Consider the following 24,521-nt stretch of genomic DNA (forward strand, 5'->3'; position numbering starts at 1 on the left):
GGAGGCAGAAGTTGTAGTGAGCTGAGATCACACCAATGCACTCCCACCTCAGCGACAAGAGCGAAACTCCCTCTGAAAAAAAAAAAAAAGACCAAGAAAGAAAAGAAATCTTAGATGACACAAACAAATGGAAATGCATCCCCATGCTCATGGATAGGTAGAACCAATATTGTGAAAATTACCATTCTGTTAAAGGCAATCTACAAATTCAATGCAATCCCCATCTGAATACCATCATCATTCTTCAGAGAATTACAAAAACAATTCTAAAATTAATATGGAACCAAAAGAGAGCCATGTAGCCCAACCAAGGCTAAGCAAAAAGAACAAACCTGGAGGCATCACACTACTTGATTTCAAACTGTACAATAAGGCCATAGTTACCAAAACAGCATGGTACTGGTTTAAAAATAGGCACATAGACCAATGGAACAGAAGAGAGAACACAGAAATTAACCCAAATACTTACAGCCAACTGATCTTCGACAAAGTAAACAAAAACATAAAGTGGGGAAAGGACACCCTTTTCAACACATGATGTTGGGATAATTGGCGAGCCACATGTAGGGGAATAAAACTGGATTCTCATCTCTCACCTTATACAAAAATCTACTCAAGATGTATTAAGGACTTAAACCTAATTCCTGAACTATAAAAATTCTAGAAGGTAACACTGGATAAACCCTTCTAGACATTGGCATAGGCAAGGATATCATGACCAAGAACCCAAATGCAAATGCAATAAAAACAAAGCTAAATAGCTGGGACTTAATTAAACTAAATAGCTTTTGCATGGCAAAGGGAACAGTCAGCAGAGTAAATAGACAAATAACAGAGAGGGAACCCTGACCCTGACCCCTGACCCTGACCCCGACCCCTGACCCTGACCCCTAACCCCTGACCCTGACCCCTAACCCCTGACCATAACCCTAACCCCTAACCCTAACCCTAACACCTAACCCCAACCCTCACCCTCACCCTAACCCAACCCTAACACCTAATCCCTAACCCCTAACCTCTCTTAACCCCTCACTCTAAACGTTGACTCCTAACCCCTAACTCTGACCCCAACTTCTATCTCCAACCCCTAACCGTAAACTTAACCCCTAACCCCTAACCCTAACACCAACCTTAACCCTAGGTTCATTACTACGTTTGTATTGACTATGTCAATGTTGATTATTATGATCGCTGTCTTAGGACTGCACGGCAGCGAGGGGATTGTGGATCTTATATTAATGTTTTTGTATTGAGGCAGTGCATTAGCACTACAGGTGCTTGTTACATGAGCAATGGGGGTGTCATATTTTGGGTGTCATGTCTGCATTAGGAATGCTGCATTTGTCTTCCGAGACTGCGGTGTGGATCTCGCACTGCGGCCACCTCGCCTTGGCAGGGGAGAAACTCAGTGGGCAGGATTCAGAGGGGCTATTGGTTTCCCGTTTTCCACACTGAACCCGTCTGACTGGTCTCTGACCCTGATTATTCAGGGCTGCAAACAGGAAGGATTTTATTCACCGTCGATGCGGCCCCGAGTTGTCCCAAAGCGAGGCAGTGCCCCCAAGGTCTGTGCTGAGGAGAACGCTGCTCTGCCTTTGCGGTGGCCCCCCAGGTCTGTGCTGAGCAGAACACACCTCATCCTGTGCTGAGGAGAAGGCAGCTCCGCCCTCCCAAAGGCACACAGCGCCAGCGCAGGGCGCCGAGAAGCGCACCCGAACCCGAATCCTAACCCTAACGCCGTCCTAAGAGCCCTGGGGAGACCTTAGGGAACAAGCATTAAACTGACACTCGAGTCTGTAGCCGGATCTGCCAAAAGACTTGGGGTTGGGGTGATATGAGGGCAAGGGTCAGGGAAGAAAGCGTTCTTGTTTTAGACCCACAGGAAGATCTGTGAAGTGCACTTGGGTAGAGCATATGTTGCCTGGCGTGCGCTTGAAAAGAGCCTAAGAAGAGGGGGCGTCTGGAAGGAACTGCAACGCCAAGGGAGGGTGTCCAGCCTTCCCGCTTCAACACCTGGACACATTCCGGAAAGTTTCCTCAGAAAGCCAGAAAAATTAAAAAAAAAAAAAAAAAAATCCAGAGGGCGGGGGGTGGGGGAGGGGCTAATGGGGCTTTACTGGGACTATCTGTCTTAGTCCTCCAAAGAACCCTACCATAGCAGCCCATCAGTCCTCTGAGACAGGTGAGGAACCTGAGATCACAGGGGGACACCCAGAAGGTCCAAGCAGAGCACCCTAGGCCCCCCACACCTCCCCTCGTGGCAGCTCCAACCCCAGCTTTTTCACTGGTAAGGCACGTCGGCTGCTGGGCCACGCCCACTCCCCCAAGCGGGAGTTTGATAAACAAACTGTTAATTATTATTACCTATATCTGGATGGGTTATGAGTGAATTTTTTTAAATTTATTTTTATTTATTCTTTATTTATTTTTGCGGGGACAGAGTCTTGCTCTGTCACTCAGGCTGGAGTGCGATGGCATGATCTCAGCTTACTGCAACCTCCACCTCCTGGGTTCAAGGAATTCTCCCACCTCAGCCTCCCAAGTACCTGAGACACAGGCGTATGCCACCACTCCCAGCTAACTTTTGTATTTTTAGTTAGAGATGGGGTTTTGCCATGTTGGCCAGACTAGGCTTGAACTCCCGATGTCACGTGATTTGTCCATCTCTGCCTCCCAAAGTGTTGGGATTACAGGCGTAAGCTACCGCACCCAGCCTAAAGTATATTTTTGTTTTCAAAAATTGTGTGGTATGCATGAGTTTTATAGCAAGAAAAAATTATAACTTATTTTGAATTAAATTCCATTGTTTTAAAATTAAGCAATAGGTGAGCTCGAATTTTAAGCTCCAAAAATGACCAAGAACTTCTTTGATTCCCTTTTAAACCTGTTGTCTGTTTTAGTCACTCATATGGAATCATTCATAGGTTTTTACTTAAAATCTAAACCAAATAATGAAGTAACTGTTTAAATTGTTAGATTGTGAATATGGCTCAGTTGGATGTAAAATGTAACTATTACTTAGGAAAACGATCTGATTTTTTTTAGCAAGCGATATTCTTTCTTTCTGAGAGCATTTCACAAATGTTTCTACCTAATGAATCATACTTTAAAAATAACACTTGTAATTCTTTTTTCTTTTTAGTTTCCTGCCTGCGATGGTTCACATAATAAACACAATGAATTGACAGGAGATAATGTGGGTCCACTAATACTGAAGAAGAAAGAAGTATAATAATAATAACAATATTTTCTCATTCTTTGTGTATAGAAAATTTTAAAATGGTGGTCTTAATTATTACTACTGGTTGAAAAATTATTTCTTCCAATTTATTTTCTTCCTGCACTACTGTTTGTATTTGATCCTTTGTCTATTCAGTCACTTAATTAGAAATTAAATTGTCAAGCCTCTTATTCTGACTTCAAAGGATTAATGTATCTTCCAACAATAAAATCACTTCTGATTTTAATCTAGGAAAACCTAAATTGTGGCTATGGATCCAAAGCTGTTTGTTTCTTTGAATATCAATATTTTCAACAGGATCTTGTTTTTAAAATTCCCGCTTACATTGTTAAATATGTTATTTTTTCATATCTCTTTTGGTTTTGATAATCTGAAGTGTTTTTTTCTCCTTTTGGCCTTCCAAACTGCATTTGTTTAGGTGAATTAAGAAAAATATTGCCATCAAGAATTACTTGTGTTTTCACAGAGATAGACTCTTTGCTTTACAGAGATTGTTGGGTATTTAATATGAATATCCCAGCTTTAGAAAAGAAGTAAACTGGATACAAAAAGTTCCATTGAGGAACAGTTATTTACAGTATAAAAGATTTGTTTACTTTACAAAAGGCTTGTGTCTGTTTGTGTGTGTGTATATTTTAAACTGTTTGACTCAGTGGCAGCTGGGGTGGAATGGCAAGAACACTTACAACCAAGCTCATGGGCTGCTGCAATTTGAAGATCAATTGGTAATAAATATAAGACATATTAATTCATATTAAAATAGTTCTGTGTTCAAAATTGTGGTTATGTGGACATTTTTCTCTTTTTAACAATATAAACCATTAAAATACAGTCATCCCTTGTATACACTGGGGACTAGTTCCAGGGCCACACATATACTAAAATCTGCCCATACTCAAGTCTCACAGAAAGTCTTGCAGAACCCATATGTAGAAAAGTTGGCCCTCCAATTGAACCTCCGTACACATGAGTTTCACATCCCATGCACAAATGCTGATCTGTGTGATCTCACCTGCATTTGACTGAAAAAAGTATGCGCATAAGTGTACCCACCCAGTTCAAACCCATGTGTAAGTGTCAACTGTACAAAAAAGTTTATGAAATAAACGTATCGGAGAATCTTTAAAATTTTTGTGCTTTTTAATCCTACTATTATGAGCCTTTTTAGTTTCATCTTACATTACTACTCTCATAATAGCTATCCTTAGCCAGGTGTCATGGCACAGGCCTGTAGTCCCAACTGCTGGGAAGATTGAGGTGGGAGGATGGCTGCAGGGCCGGATCCCAGGAGTTCAAGGCCAGGCTGGGCAAAATAGTGCTCTGCCTCTGCTGGGCTCTGTAGGGAATCCTTTCTGTTCTGAAAGAGTTACCATTTAACCCTCTTCACTGAGTGCATTTCTGAGACCTTGCTAGGCACTATGGAAACTGCTTAGTTGAGAAAAGACAAATACAAAAGCTTTTCTTTAGTCTATTTAAGATACAATTTATTCAGTTCACTTTGCTTTCTTTTTATAAGAAGGTACAAGAGGCAGAGGTAATCCTTCTAGAAATAAAACTAACTGTTATTGAGAACTTGTATGTACCAGACGCTACAATAAGCATGGTACTTGGGTTTTTAATTTATTACATGTAATGTCAGTAGGTTAAATTATATGATCAGAACAACTTCATGACCAGCAGCATGTATTTTAGAGTTAGAAATGTAGTCTGGTTTTTGAGAAGTTTTACAAGGTGTATGTCCAAAATTATTGTTCTTTCCTCACATGTCAGTGGGGGATAAATACAGCATTGCTCTCACTTCTTTGACTCTGGGTACTTTTTCATATACATTTTCTTCAACACTGTTAAGGGGCCTCACTGTCAGATTAACCAATTATTTTTCCACAGTTGGTCACCAGACTTTGGAAAAAATCCACCTCACCAAAATTTTGGATATCCTGGTCTGTGGTCATGAAATGCTTTTCTTTTTGTAAAATCTGTCACTGCGTCTCACAGCAACTTGTTTTCACACATGTTCTAGTGGTTCCCATAACTTAGATTTTACAGGAGGCAAATACGCTAAAAATGAGGAGACTAAAATGAATGACCAACTTTGAATTTTGTCAAATAACATTGAAAATGAATTATCTCATAAAAGGTAATTTGAATACCCCAAAAGTAAGATGGTTATACTCTCAGAATAAAGACTTTTTCCCTGCCACATTTTCAGTTGTTAAAATATGCTAAGAGCTATGCCCATATCTTTTCCCACCTGTGCAAATTTTTCAGAAGCCTAGGGTTGGTAGTAAGCTGTTGCTTTAATAACTCTTTTAAATAAGCATTATTAGCAGTTTCCATTACTTCTTGTAAATTTACACAATTTTATCTTGTCCATCTTTAAAAAATAGCCATCTAATAACCAAATGTATTTCAATTGATACAGTATAACTAACTTGTAGAACTTGAGGATAAGTGGTAAAGGGAAAAAAAAGTAACTTGGCTTTTGAAATACGTCTTGGGTTTCTAGAGCCTTCAAAATACAGCCCTGTTGTTACTGTGTCACATTATGATTGTTTTGAGGGCTACTTCTGCTTACCTAGGAAACTACTCATGCCTTACTCAGCAAATGAACACCACCATTACATAAACATCAGGTATCCAAAAGTGTTAGCAGGCTTGAGGTATGAATGATTCATTCATATGGGTAATTAAGCAAGTTGAATTATGAAAAGCACCTCACAATTCACACAATTCAGCTTTGAGTTCAAGGCCAAATATGATGATTCATTAAGTTGCCTTTGTATTTTGTAACCTAATTTGTTAATAAGTTACAGGAAGCCAATTAAGCCAGCTGCTCATCTATATAGTACTACCTTCCTCATTGTGATTCCATAGTCTTCCAATAGAAATGTGCTATCAGAATCTGTATAAAGAGTTTGTAAATTCCACTATTTAACAAGGTTCTTAAGAATTTAGGTGGATGTTTTGTTTGATACCTACCAAAGAAACTTAACTAATTGTATAACACTTAACCCATTTAGAATTCAGTTGTGGCAGCATAACCAATCTGGAGAGACCAGGGGAGATGTTACTAATGCTTGTACTTTATTCAGAAGTGAGTGCCTCATTGGCTTGGTGCAGTGACTACACACCTGTAATCTCAGCACTTTGGGAGGCTGAGGTGGGTGGAGTACTTGATCTCAGGAGTTCCGTACCAGCCTGGGCAACATGGTGAGATCTCATCTCTACAAAAAAATACGAAAATTTACCGGGCACCAGTGGTGCACCCATAGTCCCAGTTACTCGGGAGGCTGAGGCACAAGAATCTCTTGAGTTGAGGAGGCCAAGGTTGCAGTGAGCCAAGATTGTGCCACTGTGCTCCAGCCTGGGCAACAGAAGTGAAACCCTATCTTAAAAAAAAAAAAGTCTTTTTTTATTCATCTAATCAAATTTATTGGGGCAGAAATCAGTACGAAGTTCATAGGACAGGAGGAAACCAATATAAACATCTCAGCATTGTAGGAAATTTAACCCATGGAAAGCAGGGCTGAATTAAAGACCACTTTGAAGGCCAGGAAAAGCAGATAATTTAGATATAGTCAAAGTATGAAATCCAGAACAAGGGAATGATGTATGTGTTTACATATTAGATCTACTTTATTAACAATTTTCCCTCTGTTAAACTAATATTGACTAATAGTAGTCTAGGTAAGTCAAGTTCAAATTAAATGGTGATTGAAAAGTCTTCTTTTTTAAAAATTTTTAATGGTAGAGGCAGCAGCTACCCAGAGTCTACTTATTCTTACTTCACATTGAATTCTAACAAGTTAGGTTATCTGATTTCTGCTTCCTAACAAATCACAAGTATCGAAAGGGTCTTGCAGAAGGGGTGAACTATAAAATGTGACAGCTGACAGCAAGGCAGGGGAACAAAAATAAATTTAAGGTGAACATTAAAAGCATAGCAGCTTGAGACAATTCATAGGATTCCGCATGCAACCGTCTCTGAGGACATCACTGTGATCAAATTATACAAGTGATGTTTAGTGATGAATTGGAATCAAGATAAGTAGTATGTGTTATTTAAAAAGGCAGGATATGTGTTGCATTCGGTGGCAACAATTTCCCCTTAGCTATTTAGTTAAAAGCTTAGTGCTTAACATGTTGGAAAACTTATGCATGAAATATATTGACTTATTCCTTGATGACTGGAGGCTTTATCACAGGAAGTTTTCCCATTCAATTGAAACATTTTTCAAGCTTAATGACTATAATTTACTACATAATTTATTTTGTTAAAGTTTGAGGAAAACTAAATAAAGAAGTAGCAATTTAAGTCATAATAAATTTTGTTAGATGACTTCTTCCACTTTAGGGGGAATTAAAAATCTTGTTTAAAAACCACATGTGCAGCAGTTCTGTGACTGCCTCAACACCTAGTTGGCCATATAGTCCCTTTGCACCACAGAGGTTGGAGTATAGAATATGCCCAAAGCTGTTTTGTTTTGTTTTAACTATGCTGCATCATCTGAGGTTGTGTTAACATAGTTTGTCCTAATAGTCTTTTACTGGAAAGTTGCTATATTTGATTATGTTCAGCAAGTAAACTAATTTTATCTACTTTCATATATTTTGAGACAAAGTCTGGCCCTGTCACCCAGGCTGGAGTGCGGGGGAGTGATCGTACCTCACCGCAGCCTCAGCCTCTTGTGCTCAAGCGATCCTCCCACCTCAGCCTCCCAAGTAGCTGAGACTACAGTCATGCTTCATCATGCCCGGTTAATTTTTTACTTTTCTAAGAGACAGAGTCTCACTATGTTACCCAGGCTGGTCTCGAAGTCCTGGACTCAAGTGATCCTCCCTGCCTCAGCACTCCCAAAGTGCTGGGATTGCAGGTGTGAGCAACGATGCCTGGTGTTTTATCTTTTGCAGAAATCCAATTTAGTAAAGTCATGTTGTAGCAAGCATCATTTTCATATAAAAAGTGTACAGTTCATATTATTAGCAAATGTATTGTGTAATTTTATATTAGTTATGGTCTTCAAGGACATTGAAAATCTCTTCAGAAAGACTGTGTTTTTCAACCAGAGATGATATCACTCTAACTTTCCTTTGGTTTAAATGCTTGATTCTTTGCTTACAAAATTTCTGTTTTGAACAATTATGGTGAGAAAGTATATTTGTGATACTGTTTTCTTAGAACATTGTTGTCAGATAGATCAGCCATAATGTTAACACATTTCTGATCTCTATTATAAGGCTGTAATTTTCCAAAATAATATAGAAAAGGAGAAAAGGGTAGTACATTTCATAATTACTGAGATGAACCCTGTACTAGTGAGAAAATAAAAATGCCAACAATTTATTAAATTTTCAGATTTCCTGTAATTTTCCATCACTATCCCTCATACATTTCTCTGCATGATCACACTAAAGATATAAATTAATCACATCCATTCAACAAATCAAGAAACTCAAAACTCACAAGTACAATCTTCAACTCTGTAGAATGCTACCAAGAAGTAAAATAAGATGAAGGTAGAAAGATTCTCTTTGAGGGCCAGGTGCGGTGGCTCACACCTGTAATTAATTCCAGCACTTTGAGAGGTCAAGGTGGGCAGATTGCCTAAGGTGAGGAGTTCAAGACCAGCCTGGCCAACATTGTGAAAACTCGTCTCTACAAAAATACAAAAATTAACTGGGCATGATGGTGGATGTCTGTAATCCCAGCTACTCGGGAGGCTGAGGTGGAAGAATCGCTTGAATCCAGGAGGCAGAGGTTGCAGAGTGCCAAGGTCATGCCATTGCATTCCAGCCTGGGCCACAGAGCAAGACTCCATCTCAAAAAAAAAAAAAAAAGAAAAGAAAAAAGAAAGATTCACTTTGAAATGCTGCATGCAACTATATGGCCACACATTGGAAAATCTAGAGAAAATGGGTAATTTTCTGGAAAAATATAAATGACCAAAACTAATCCAAGAAGAAATTTAAAATGTTATTAGACCAGTTACAAAGAAGAGAATGTAAAGTGATTTTTTAAATCCATAATTTAAAAAGTACTAGGGTTGCAAGAAGGATAATTCCAATGTTATTTAAAGTATCCCAAATTTTTTTAAAAAAGAAAAACCAATTCATTTCACATAGGTAGTGCAGCATTAATATGAAAACCTTATAAACATAAGACAAAACTATAGGCCAGGTGCCATGGCTTACACCTGTAATCCCAGCACTTTGGGAAGCCAAGGCAGGTGGATCACTTAAGGTCAGTAGTTCAAGACCAGCCTGGACAATATGGTGAAACCCCGTCTCTACTAAAAATACAAAAATTAGCCCGGCATGGTGGTGCATGTCTGTAATCCCAGCTTGAACCCAGGAGGCAGAGGTTGCAGTGAGCCAAGATCACGCCACTGCACTCCAGCCTGGGTGACAGAGCAAGTCTCCGTCTCAAAAAAAAAAACAAACAAAAAAACCAAAACTATAGACCAATCTGACTTATACATATGAATGAATATTCTAAATAAAAACCCAGCACTTTTATCAATAATTGCAACAACAAAAAAGAGTGATACAGTATGCAAAGAGCATTGTATTTCAGGAATTCACGGGTATTTCAATATCAGTTAAGTATATTAACACAATTACATAATTGACATCAAAGAAGAGGAAAATGTGATTATATCAGTAGATGCTGAGAGGGCTATTGTTAAGATTAAACATCCACTCGTAATGAAGATTCTTGAGTAAAATAGAAATTGAAGGAAAGTGTCTAAACATAACCTTTATTTATGAAATGCCTACAAAACAAGTATTTTAAATCATAAAGGAACATTTCAATTAAAACAAGGAACCAGTAGGAATAGCTGCTGTCATTATTTGTTATTAAAAATTATCTTGGAGGATCCATGAATGTAACAAGATTTTTAAATGAAATAATCAGTATAAATATATAGAAAACTTTTTTTGGATATGATTATATGCCTAGGAAATCATAGAGATTAGGAAAAACAGAACTTTCAAATATTTTAAAGAGGAATATTGGTAAGGTATTTGGAAATAAGATCATAATACAAAATATATTAGCAATAAGCACCTTGAAATGCTAATGGTAAAAATATTCACAATAACAAAAATAATAAAGGTAAAATAAATTTGCCAAGAAAGAAGATCTATAAGAAAAAAACTATAAAAATGTTACCAAAAGCTATTGAATGAGAAACACATGAGGCTAGGTGCAGTGGCTCATACCTGTAATCCCAGCACTTTGGGAGGCTGAGGCAGAAGGACTGCTTGAGCCCAGGAGTTCAAGACGAGCTTCGGCAAATTGTGAAACACTATCTCTAAACAAAACAAAACAAAAAACTAGTTGGGCTTGGCGCATGCTTATAGAACCAGGTACTTGGGAGGCTGAGGTGGGAGGTTGGGGCTTCAGTGAGCTGAGATCCCACAACTGCACTCCTGCCTGGGTGACAAAGTGAGACCCTGTCTCAAAAAAACAAACAAAACTCTTGTAAAAACATAAATCTCCTAAAATTATATATAAATTCAATTAAATTCACATTAGAATCACAAAAGCATTTTACAATTGGATTAAATTATCTTAAAGTTCATGTAGAAGAATAGTCAGAAAATTGTACCAAAAAAAAGACTATTGAGAGGAACTTTTCTCACCAGATATCAGCACCTACTAAAGAACTATTGGAATTGATCAATTAAGAAAAACAATTGTATTAATTAAGAATAAGCAAGAGTGGTAAAAAATTGAGAATCTACATGTAGATGAAAAATTAATATATGAAAATAAACAATTCAAAGAAAACAAAATTGGACCCTCAATTTACACTGAAGGCTTTGAAGTGATACATAAAATGATTTTTAAAATGATTTAAATACGTACATAAATGGAGAGAGGAAGGGTGGGAGAGAAGCGGGAGAGAGAGAAAATAGAAGACTAAAGACGGGAACACCTATGTGGAAAAAGATAACACTTAATGACAAAATATGTTTTATGTGAATATCAGTTATACATAATAAATATTGGGGACATTGCGTTGTGGGTTACAGCAAAGCATTAAGAAACAGAGTAAGTGAACAAAAAAAGGAAAGAAAACTACCAAATTCCATGTATGATACCCCGTTTTGAAATTCCATAAATTAAACATGTGTACACATAAGAAAATTTAAAACATTAAAATTTTGTTAACAAAATGGATTTGATAACACGAAGGCCATTGATGACCTTACCCACAGCAGCTTTGTTTAAATGGGGATTAAGGATGGAGCAAAATTTATTAGAACACTTTGAATAATGAATTAGCAAACTACAATAAACTGAAATCTTATCTACCAAATAATCACAGTAAAGTAAACAAATCTAAAAGAAATGAATAAAACAATTGTGAGCAAAAAAGGATAGAGTCACTGCATATAATGTAAATGAGACAAGGATGGCCTCTGTGTATTGGCACCTAGGTTATTTCTTCACAGCAAGTTGAAACCCATTAGCTCAAAACCAACTGGCACCAAACTCAAATTTTTAAATATCCAATTGTGTTAAACATAGCCCAGACATGCAGATTTGTAGGCATTTAGAGCCTGCCAGATTTACATGCCCTGGGAAACTACGTCCAAAATCTGCTTGCCACAGATAAACTCTAGGCTGTAAAGACCCCAAACTGCTTCTGCTCTTTGGAACTCTGTGAACTACAGACTCCATGCCATGCTGCTGAGTGATATCACTGAGATATGAAAGCCTCCTCTCTGATCCTTTCCTCCCTCAGGAGTTCCTTTGCCCTCCTCCCCTTCTGAGTGGTGGCCCCCTTGTCTCAATCCTCTGGTCCATCTCTTGCTGTGAAGGCCTTCCCCAGGATACAAACCTGAGAAGAGATCATCCAGATAAAGCCCATGTGTGCTTCTGTCACATCTTTTTCTATATTTTTCTAATTTTTTTCTAAACTTTTCTAATTTTTTCTTAATTTTTATAGAATTGTGGATACCTAATAATGTAGTCTCAAAATAAATAAAGCCAAAATTAGAATTGGAAACAGCAATAAAAAAAATCTACACAGTGAGAGATTTTAACATTTCATTTTTAGTAATTGAATAAATAAAAATAAAATTAGTAAGGCTAATCAACAGTTAAAGAATTTCTATTCTTTTCAAGCACACTTGGAGTATTTACAAAAATTGACCAGATATTAGACCTAAAGGTAGTATCAAATGTTTACAGTGGTATAACAAATGTGTAATAGCACTATTAGAAATCAATAACAAAAACTTATCCAAAAGTAATCCATGAATTTTAGAAACTACAAACAGCTTCCAAATGATTCATGGAAGCAAGAAGAAATTATAATAAAAATTAGAACATGCTTAAAATTGAATTAAAATGAAAACATTACCGATCAATATATATGTAAAATAACCGAAGCAGTACTTAGAGTGAAATTTACCAGAAGCAATTCACATTCATGGGAAGGACAACAGCATGCATTTACCAGTTAAAATAGACTGGGTAAGAAATAACATGTTGGATGGCCTAGAGAGACACAAGCATCCCTGAGAGAGAAAATCATCTGAAGATTTAAGGACCTGTGACATCAGTTGCAGAAGATTTTAGGGGGCCCATTGGTCCCCCTATACTAAGGAATACTGTTCTGACACATTTGATGAGTGACACAGAAGGCTTCCACCTTTGACAAAAGCTTAGGGCACAAAAGGCCTCTGCAGCAGGTCCAGGATCCAGGGCAAGCAGCCCTACTGTTTGAGCCATACAATCTAGTAGGCTCTATGGTATTAGAAGTATATGCAGTTGGAAAAAGCACCATGTAGAGTTTATAGCAAACCCTAATAGACGATTCACACATAGTCTTGTGGGGTTCACTAGCATGGTCATGCTATCTGCAATTGTATATTGTATAAATATATAGCATAATTGTGTACTTTAATAGCTCCTAGCATGCTACTGCACCTAGGTAGAGATGGACTATCTGACAACAAATATTAAGTGACCATGTGGCTAAAAGTTCCCACCGTAAGTTTGGTTTTGTTAGATCTACCAGATCATAAGGACAGGTTGGCCCAGCAACAAATCATAATAAAATAGAAGTAGCACATTGAATTAGTCCATTTTCACGTTGCTATAAAGAACTACCCAAGACTGGGTAATTAATAAACAAAAGAGGTTTATTGACTCACAGTTCCGTATGGCTAGAGAGGTCTCAGGAAACTTACACTTATGACTAAAGGCAAAGGTGAAGCAGGCACCTTCTTCACAAGGAAGCAGGAGAGACAGAGAGCAAAGGGGGATGTGCCAAACACTTTTAAACCATCCGCTTTCATGAGAACTCACTCAATATCATGAGAACAGCATGAGGGAAACTGCAACCATGATCCAGTCACCTCCCACCAGGTCCCTCTCTCTACATGTGGGGATTATAATTTGAGATGAGATTTTGTGGGGACACAGAGCCAAACCATATCACATCAAGGATTGGGCATGAGAAAGACTAGAGGACACAAGTAAGCAGTATGATCAGGTGATCCAGGTCCCCACATTATCCAAATTGTGACACTAGATTCTCTCCCTCAGCTGGCAACTGCCTACGTAGGAGTTCCAATATTGCTAAAGGAGGAAAAAAGCTAAGCTTGTTCATTGGAAGATCAACTCAGGATGCGGATGTAAGTAAAAAATGATAGCAGCCTACTTCAGCTATGGAAAGATAGCAGTAGATTAAATCCTCCCAAGGACGATTCAACATATACGAATCAATAAGTGTGATATACACATTAACAGAATGAAGGACAAAAACTATATGAATATCTCCATGGATGCAGAGAAAGCATTTGACAAAATTCAACATCTTTCTGTAATAAAAACTTTCAACAAATTAGGTATCAATGTCCACATAACACAATAAAGGCATATATGATAGGCCCACATCTAACATCATACTCAATGGTAAAAAGCTGAAAGCTTTTTCTCTAAGATCAGAAACAAGATGGATGCCCATTTTCACCACTTCTATTCAAGTTCTAGCAATTAGTCAAGAAGAAGAAATAAAGGCATTAAAGTCAGAAAGGAAGAAGTGAAATTGTCTCTGCAGACAACATGATCTTAAATGTAGAAAACCCTAAAGAGTCCACCAAAAAAAACTGTTGGAACTAGTAAATTAATTCAGTAAAGTTGCAGGATACAAAATCAACATAAAAAAACGAGTAGCATCTGTATACACTACCAATGAACTATCTGAAAAAGAAATCAAGAAAACGATTTCATTTATAATGGCTACACAAATACTTAGGAATTAATTTAACCAAGGAGGTGAAAGACCTGTACACTGAAAACTATAAAACATTGGTGAAAGAAATTGAAGAAGACACAAATAAATGGAAATATATCCCATCTTCATGGATTAGAAGAATTCATACTGTTAAAATGTTCTTAGTACCCAAAGTGATCTACAGATTCTTATGTAATCTCTATCAAAATTCCAATGATATTTTTTACATAAACAGAAAAAAGTCCCCAAATTCACTTGAAACCACAAAATACTCCAAATAGCAAATTGTGAGCAAAAAGAACAAAGTAGGAGGCATCACATTATCCAGTTTCAAAATATACTATGATGCTATAGTAATCAAAAATATAACATGATACTGGCATACAAACAGACTGGTAGACCAATGGAATAGAATAGAGAGCCTCAAAATACATCCACGTTTATGGCCAATTGATTTTCAGTAAATATGCCAAGAATACACAATGGGGAAAGGACAATCTTTTCAATAAATGGTGTTGGGAGAACTCCACATGCAGAGAAATGAAATTAGACCCTTATCTCACACCATATATAAAAAAATAACACAAATGGACTAAAGACTTAAATATAAAACCTGAAACCATAAAACTACTAGAAGAAAACATACAGGAAAAGCTCCATGAGACTGGTCTGGGCAATGATTTTCTGGATATGACCCCCAAAGCACAGGCAACAAAAGCAAAAATAGACAAACGGGATTATATCAAACTAAAAAGCTGTGCAAGCAAAGGGAGCAATCAATAGAGTAAAGAGGTAGCCTACAAAAAGGGAGAAAATATTTGCAAACCATACATCTGATAAAGGATTAATATCCAGAATATATAAAGTATTCATACATCTCAATAGCATGAAAACATATAACCTGATTAATGAAAGGGAGGCAAAGTACCTGAAGAAACATTTTTCCAAAGAAGACATACAAATGGCCAACAGGAATATGAAAAAATAACAAACATCACCAGTCGTCAGGGAAACGCAAATCAAAACCACAATGAGACATCCCTTTTAGAATGGCTACTATGAAAAAGACAAAAGATAACGTGTTGGTGAGGATGTGGAGAAAAGGGAGCCTTTGTATACTGTTGGCAGGAATGTAAATTAGTACAGCCATTATGAAAAATAATATAGAGGTTTCTCAGAAAGTTAAAAATAAAACTACCATATGATCCAGCAATCCTAGTACTATTTATATACCCAAATAAAATGATTCAATATGTCAAAGAAAAATCTGTACCTCATGTTCATTGCAACATTATTCACAATAGACAAGATACGAAATCAACCTAAGTATCCTTTAACAGATGAATGATTAAAGAAAATGTGGTGTATATATACCTAATGAAATATTGTTCAGCCTTAAAGAAGGAAATCCTGTCCTTTGTAATAACATGAATGAAACTGGAGGACATTATATTAAGTGAAATAAGCCAGGCACAGAGAGATAAATGCCATGTAATCTCACTTATATGTGGAATCTAAAAAAGTCAAACACATAGAAGCAGAAAATAGAATAATGGTTATTAGGGGCAGGGGGAGGAGGGTAGAACTGGGGAGATGTTGGTCAAAGGATACAAAAATTAAGATAAGCAGGAAGAACAAGTTCAAGAGACCTATTGTACAACATGGTGACTACAGTTAATAACAATGTATTGCATACTTGAAAATTGCTAGGACAGTAGATTTTAAGTGTTCTCACCACAAAAGAAATGATAAATATGTGAGGTAACACATGTATTAATTAGCTTGAGTTAGCCATTTCACAGTGTATCCATATTTCAAAACATCAGGTTGTACACTACAAATATATACAATTTTTGTTTGTATATTTAAAATTTTTTAATATTTAAAAATTCAACTCAAAAATAAATTCTTGGCCAGGCACAGTGGCTCACACCTGTAATCTCAGCACTTTGGGAGGCCAAGGCAGTGGATCATGAGGTCAGGAGATCGAGACCATTCTGGCTAACATGGTGAAACCCCGTCTCTACTAAAAAAATACAAAAAAAAATTAGCCGGGCGTGGTGGCGGGCGCCTGTAGTCCCACCTACTCAGGAGGCTGAGGCAGGAGAATGGCGTGAACCCAGGAGGCAGAGCTTATAGTGAGCCGAGATCACGCCACTGTACTCCAGCCTGGTGACAGAGCAAGACTCTGTCTCAAAAAATAAAAAAAATTTAAAAAAAAATTTCAGTTGGCAGAACTTTGCACTACGCACCTTGTCATTCACTTTGCATGGAAAGAGAAGAGACTCAAAGTAAGAATGTACTGACTCATGGTCAAATGGCTTGGCTACAGGTCAGGGGGATGGGAGGAGAAAATTTGGAAGACTGGAGAAAAAGACATCTGAGAAAAGGGCATATGGGTGGACTTATGGGGATGTACAAAAAGTATGAAGATCTTTGTTTCACATGTTAACACCTACAAGAGGTATCTATCAACAACCAAGGAGAAAAGCGACTCAGCCAGATGATGTTAGCCAACCTCTTCCATTGGCCAGCTCAGTACTGGTACTGGCACAATTGGTGAATAAATATAGTGACAAGGATGGAGCCTATGCAGAGGCCCAAACAGCAGAAGTCTCCACTGACTAAGTCTTATCTAGCTACTGCTGCTTCTGAATGTCAAAGTTGTCATCAAGACAGAGCAACACTGAGGCCTCAAGATAGCATCATCCCTCAAGGACACCAAGTAGCCACCTGGTGGCAAGCTGAATGCACTGGATTCTTTCCATCACAGGAAGGGTAATGATTCATCTTGGCTGGAACTGATACTTATTCTGAGTATGGATTTATCTTTCCTACTTACATGGCCTCAACCAGCACCACTATCCAAGGGTTGACAGAATGTTTAATCCTCCAATATGGAATCCTATACATCCTTGCATTGTACTTTATAGCACCGTATAAAGGGAATGTACTTTGTAGCACTGTAGTTGCAGTGGTGGACACATGAAAATGCAATTCAGTGATCCTATTACAAATCATGAAATCACAACAACTAAAAGCTGTCAAACTGATGGAGTGATGGAACATCCTCCAGTAGCCCTTTGAAGCTGCAGGGATGGGATACAAGCATATATCCTAGATCAGTAACCATTGTATGGTCCCATGTCGCTAATAGAAGGAGGACCATGGATTGAAGAAAGAGTAGCACTATTTACCGTCACCCCGAGGGATTCACTTGGGAAATTTCTGCTTCTTATCTCTGCAATTCAATGCTGTTACACAACGGAAGTAGCCAGGAATGTGTTTGGCAGCCAAGGGATGTTTAAGTAGTACCTTACTAAATTTTGATTGCTCAATTTAAAAGGACAAGTCTAGTAGCCATGGCTACTACACCCCCCTCTCCTATCACCAGGTAAGTGACCTAGACCAGGGGAGGTGCTAGCTGAGGGTAAGAATGTAAACCTGATAGTACCTGTATAGTAGGAAAGGCAGATGATCAGTTTAGGGTGAAAGACCAGTTGAAGAGCCAAGGAGCTATTGTTCCCTCCATGAATGTTACTTTCACGTTTCCCCAGCAAAAGAAACCAACCAAAATCCTGGAGGAGCTATTCCTAGATGGAGAGAAGTTATATGAAGTCATGGATCCAAATGACACGAGGGATGGACAGAGTAGTGTCTTCTGTGGTTTGTAGTCCAGGCCTCCCTGCAGAATGGAGACCCTCATTCCCCAGCTTCCTTAGAGTGCTGTCTGTTGAGGGCACATGACTAAGTTCATGCCCTAGGAATTGCCCTCAGGCCAAAAGAAACTGTGTAGTAGAAGTCACATCCTTGGGGCAAGAACTTAATTTGAATTCATATTGATTGTTGTCAACAGAATTTTAAGTACTGTATGGTATGTGCGTGAAAGGAAAAGAACATTTGAAATGAGCTAATGTAGAGCGGATCTATTGGGGAACTATTGGTGAATAATGATGATGTGGTCAGTGAGGGTCACTGAAGTTCACAGGGTTATTTGAACAGAAAACAACTGGGAGAGGTGGATTTGACACTCAGATTGGGGGACTGCACAAATAATAAGGTATCTGGGCTTCAGTTTTCTCATCTAGAACATGAGGGACTAAATGACTGCCAAGTATCTTCCAGCTTCTATATTCTGTAATGCTTAAGTACTCTGCAGAATATTAAAACGACCAGCACTGGGAGATAGCCCATGGGCTTGAAAAGTGAGGAAAAACAGAAGCTGCCAGAAAGAGTTTGTTAAAACCTTAAAAACCTGCGCATGGCTGTTTATAACAGTTGTATTCATAACTGCCAAAACTTGGAAGCAACCAAGATATCCTTCAGTAGGTTAATGGCTACGCAAACTGTGATACATCCATACAAGGGAATATTATACAGCACTAAAAAGAAATCAGATATTAAGCTAAGAAAAGACATGGAGAAGACTTAAATGCATATTGCTAAGTAAAAGAAGCCAGCATGAGAAGGTAATATATTGTATGGTTCTAAGTGTATGACAATCTGGAAAAGGCAATACTATAATGTAGAAACATCAGTGGTTTTCAGCAATTTGAGGAAAGTAAGAGAGGGATACATAGGTGGAACACGGAGGATTTTTATGGTGATGAAACTATTCTGTATGATACTGGTGGATATCTGTCATTATACAGTTGTCAAAATTCACAGAACTTTACAACACAAAGAGTGAATGCTAATGTAAACTATGGACTTCAGTTATAGTAATGTATCAATATGTATCAATTGTAACCAATATACCACATTAATACATGGTGTTAATAATAGGGTAAATTGTGTACAGAGGTAGGGATTGGGTGGAGAGTGGGATAGGAAGGTAGTGTTACATGGGAACTCTGTGTACTTTCTGCTCATTGGTTTCTGTAAACCTAAAATTGCTCTAAAAAACAAAGTCTACTAATTTTGAGAAATTTGATGAAGAATGAATATTCATGTAGTACCAAGGTATAACCTCAGAGATCACTGGCTAATTACAGAGGAAATCATACCATTACGATATAGACATCTGGCAATCACCACCTTAATTTAGGAATGAAAATTAGCATCACTGGCAGTGGGACAACCAGACATAAACTTCGTAATGTGCCGCTATTGGAAGTATACGACATCACCTTTGAATAATTCTGGCCAAAAAAGTTTAACCTGAATGTAACCAAGTCTTTAAATTTAACTTCAAATTTCAGAAAATTGAGGGGATAGACAAACAAACTAAATGAAACCATGAACAGTCCCACAAATCCAGAATGTGAGATATTCTACGTGATAACTAGCATGGTTCCTTTAAAGTGTCAATACCGACTGGGCACGGTGGCTCGCACCTGTAATCCCAGCACTTTGGGAGGCTGAGGAGGGTGGATCATGAGGTCAGGAGATCGAGACCATCCTGGCTAACATGGTGAAACCCTGTCTCTAGTAAAAATACAAAAAATTATCCGGCCGTGGTGGCAGGCACCTGTAATCCCAGCTACTCAGGAGGGTGAGGCAAGAGTATCTCTTGAACCCAGGAGGCAGAGGTTGCAGTGAGCCAAGATCACGCCACTGCACTCCAGCCCGGTGACAAAGCAAGACTCCGTCTCAAAAAAAAAAAAAAAGTCTATGCCATTTAGCAAGGGATTAAGTATGGAGAAATGTGCTGGATTACAAAATAAGAGACAAAAACAAAATGTAGTGTCCAGTTCTCGATTGGATCCTGGCTTTTAAAAATTGCTATAATTGGGAAACAATTAAGAAAATGTGAATCATAGGGTGTAATTATGCAAACCTAGATGGTATATATACGTATATTTTTGAGACAGAGTCTCACTATGTCACCCAGCCTGGAGTGCTGGTGCGATCTCAGCTCACTGCAACCTCAGCCTCCCAGGTTCAAGCAATTCTCGTGCCTCAGCCTCCTGAGTAGCTGGGATTACAGGCACCTGCCACTGCACCAGGCTAATTATATTTTCAGTAGAGACGGGGTTTCACCATGTTGGCCAGGCTGGTCTCAAACTCCTGACCTCAGATGATCTGCCCACCTTGGCCTCCCAAAGCACTGGGATTACAGGCATGAACCACTACATCCAGCCCTATATATTTTCACTTATTTATTTTTTATAAGGAAAATTAAATGTTACAGCACCACTGCTGAGCATCAGTCATTTCCTCTACTTGATATTGGCAATGCCAATATCAAGGGCCATATACTGTTTATCAAGTTTCTATATATGTTCCAGTTTAATCTTATGAGACCACCACAGTGTAGATGGTCGACTAGTTGACTGAAATGTGTTACTTGGGGCATGACTGTTTATATTTGAAAATATTTGGGAGTTGAATAATTGTAAGGAATTACTGATAACTTGGTGTGAAAGGATAAGGGAATTGTGGTTATGCAAGAAAATGGCTTTAGTTTTTGAATATGCAGGCTTAAGTGTACAGAGGCAAATTAGCATGATGCCTATAATTTACTTTTAATTCAAATTGAAAAATTACATAAAGAAAACTTGACAAAATATTAACAATTAATTGGATTTAGGTGGTGGTTATGTGGGTGCCCATTTTTTCTACCTTTCTGTAGGCTCCAATGTTTCATAATTAAAAGGGAAAAAACGGGGCCACAAGAGAAGGTACAATTAAACATTAATGGATCCCTTCTCCCAAGCAGTTAGCGCTGAGAGTGTGGAGTGTGCTCTCCAGGATCAGCACATATGTATTATCTTGAAAAATACATTCCCCTGAAAAAAATCCCATGAAAAAAACTTAAAAAAAAAAAAAGGTTTCTGTTTTAACACCCGTCACCCCTGCAAAACACTTTACAAAAAAATCCTTGTCTTCACTACCAGAGACATTTTCCTTTTCTTCTTATATAAGATTACCCGGTGAGGCAGCCGAGAGTGACCCACCCGCCCCCTCGCAGCTCCGAAGCAGCTTCAAGAAGGAACAGGATCCCGAGGCCTGGATGCTGGACCCTACACCGCCACCCTCATCCCAGCCCGCTGCGGGCAGCAGTTCCTCGGCCGTGGAGTAGTTTTGGATTCCAGGTGATTTTGTCTCTCTGCGCTGGCCAAGGCTTCCGCCCCAGCCCTTACTCTCCTTTCACGGAAAGGTCGCAGCCTGTGGCCCTACCGGCAGACAGGTGCAGAGGTGAGCCCAGCGTCCCAGCCATCCTCTGTCCTCGCACCGCACGTGACCAGGCCTGCTGGCCAGTCTTCTCTATCCCGGGCTACAGGAACCACATCACCGGCGCTCCTTGGGAAACGCAGGATGTGGAATGTGCTTAAGACCCCATGAATTTTGATGTTATAAAAGACTAGCCAATACACACTAAGTGGTCTCGGTGTGATCCATCACTCCGCAAAAATGGAGTGGGCAACATGTTCATTAAAAAAATTGGACAAATCTATTGATTATAAAGCATTGCATGATACATCTGCTTCTGGTAACATCTTTTTGTTGCAGAAAAAACCAGGTTCTTGTCACACCACCAGGAAAAGGCACGCAAACACTTGAAGGGTGAGGGGAAATGGAGTTTATTGGGTGGAAAGGAAAAAGGAAAAATAACTCTCAGCAAAGAGAGAAAGAGTCCTGCTAGCGGGTTTCCCGCCTCATAGATTAAATCCTAGGTCACTACATGGGAACAGGCCAGACTCCTCTCCACTGCACACTGCACAAACTTCCCGAGGCTCCACCCCGTAATCCCAGTGCGCAGGTGGGCATTATTCAGAATCAGTGAGGAAAGGGCGGCTCCAACCAGGACCTGCAGTCCAGTTTATCAGCCTTCAGGCTGTTTTAGTCTTGAAGGTGGGGTTTTACCAGGGGACCCTTGGCTGCCTCCTGTCTCTATCACTTTCACATTAGGTGCTCTGTGGTGAAAACGGTTTCAAAGGTGATGGCATTGTACATTTTGAGACACAGAAGCAGCTGAAAGATCTATTCAAAAATGAAATGGATGCTTCTAAATGATAGCAAAGTCTGTTGGATTAAGTCTTGTAAACAATGAGAAGCAGAACTCAGAGCTAAAAAGTTCACCAATGTTTACAGGAAGATTTTTGGAGAAGACATGGATGGTAGGTGCCTTAAAGATCCTTTGGCAAGTTGGGATCTGTCTTAAGTGTGATAGTAGTGGTTAATGAAAGTGGAAAACCCAGAGGTTTTGGATTTGTCAGCTTTGAAAGGCATAAAGATGCGCAGATGAGATGAACAAAAGAAGCTCAATGGAAAGTAAATTGATGTTGGTCAAGCTCAGAAAGAAGTAGAATGGCAGATGGAACTTGTGTGCAAATTTGAAAAGATCAAGCAGTATAGGATCATCAGATAACAAAGTGTTAACATTTATGCAAAAAATCTTGATGGTATTGATGAATGTCTCTGGAAAGAACTTTCTCCACTTGGTACAATCACCAATGCAAAGGTTATGAAGGATGGTTGTCATAACAAAGGGTTTGATTTGTGTATGTTTCTCCTCTCCAGAGGAAGCAACTAAAGCACTTTCAGAAATGAATGGTAGAATTGTGGGCACTGAGCCATTGTATATATATAGTGTTAACTCCATGGGAAGAAAAGCAATGAAGAGCACCAGGCTCAGCTCATTAACCAGTACAGTATGTGCAAAGAATGGCAAGTGTAAAAACTATGCTCAACCTGGGAATCAGTCCCTATCAGCCAGCACCTTCTTCAATTGACTTCATGGCAGTTATCCCACAGAGTGAGAGCCATGCTGCAAAGTATTCTCCTAGCCAAACTGCTCAACTAAGATCAAATCCTCCCTAAATTGCTCAGGGTGCCAGACCTCATCCATTGAAAAATATGTCTAAGCCACTCCTAGCTCACTACATTTAGTAGTAAGAGAACAGCTTCTTCACAGCTTCCACAAATCATGTCAACACAGCTGTTGTAACACATCGACACAGAAAATAGGAGCACATCCTGCAGTTGCCGCTATGGCTACTACAGATACTCCTGCTGTTTGTACCATTTCACAGTATAAATATGCTATGGAAGCTCACAATCCTCAATGGCATTTTCATGCACAGCCCCAGATTACCATGCAGCAGCCTGCTGTTCATGTAGAAGGTCAAGAACCTTTGACTTCCATGATGGCATCTGCTCCTCCTCAAAAGCAAAAGGAAATGAGTGAATGGCTGTTTCCTCTTCTTCAAGCCATGCCCTAGTCGTGCTGGTAAAATCATTGGCAAGTTGTTGCAGATTGGTAATTTAGAACTCCTTCATATGCTTGAATCTCCAGAGCCTCTCTATACTAAGGTTGACAAAGGTATAGCTGTACTACAAGACCACCAAGCTAAAGAGGCTGCCCAGAAAGCAGTTAATGGTGCCACTGGTGTTCCAATTGTTTAAAACTGATCAGGGACCACAGAAAGAAACTTGAGCATCACTGAAGAAAAATATCTCAATATCAAAAACCTTAAATACTATGGAAAAAATTTGTAAAGTATAAAATAAATTTAAAAAGGAAACTTTGAACTTTACATACCAAGCAAATGTCAGATCTAACAAATGCAATGATAGTCCTAGATTACTTATTGATTTGAAAAGAAAAAATCCTCCCAAAATAATAAAATATAAAAACACTGTAATGCTTTTCAGACTCTGTGATAAATAATTTTCAGCAAAGTATAAAAATTTAAAGCATTCCTTTAATTTTGTAATTCATTAGTGTGGAATAGCTAAGAATGTCACTTCTGTTTTAAGTAACAGAATTGATAACTGAGCAAGGAAAGGTAATTTGGATTATAAAATTTTGCTTTAATAAAAATTCCTTAAACAGTGAAAAAAATAGGCAAAGATACAAAAAAAATTTATAAGAAGCAACAATCTTGTATTTATTTGTTATTTTATTTTATTTTATTTTATTTTATTTTTTTGAGATGGAGTTTCGCTCTGTCACCCAGGCTGGAGTGCAGTGGTGTGATCTTGGCTCACTGCAACCTCTGCCTCCCAGGTTCAAGTGATTCTCCTGCCTCAGCCTCCCGAGTAGCCGGGACTACAGGCACCTGCCACCATGCCTG

General features: G+C 38.6%; 1 pseudogene; it reads left to right on the forward strand.

The window, feature by feature from the left end:
- Positions 22,342 to 24,282, forward strand: PABPC1P9 (poly(A) binding protein cytoplasmic 1 pseudogene 9; annotated as a pseudogene).

Source organism: Homo sapiens, chromosome 22, assembly GCF_000001405.40.
Source record: "Homo sapiens chromosome 22, GRCh38.p14 Primary Assembly".
NCBI classification, from domain to species: Eukaryota; Metazoa; Chordata; class Mammalia; order Primates; family Hominidae; genus Homo; species Homo sapiens.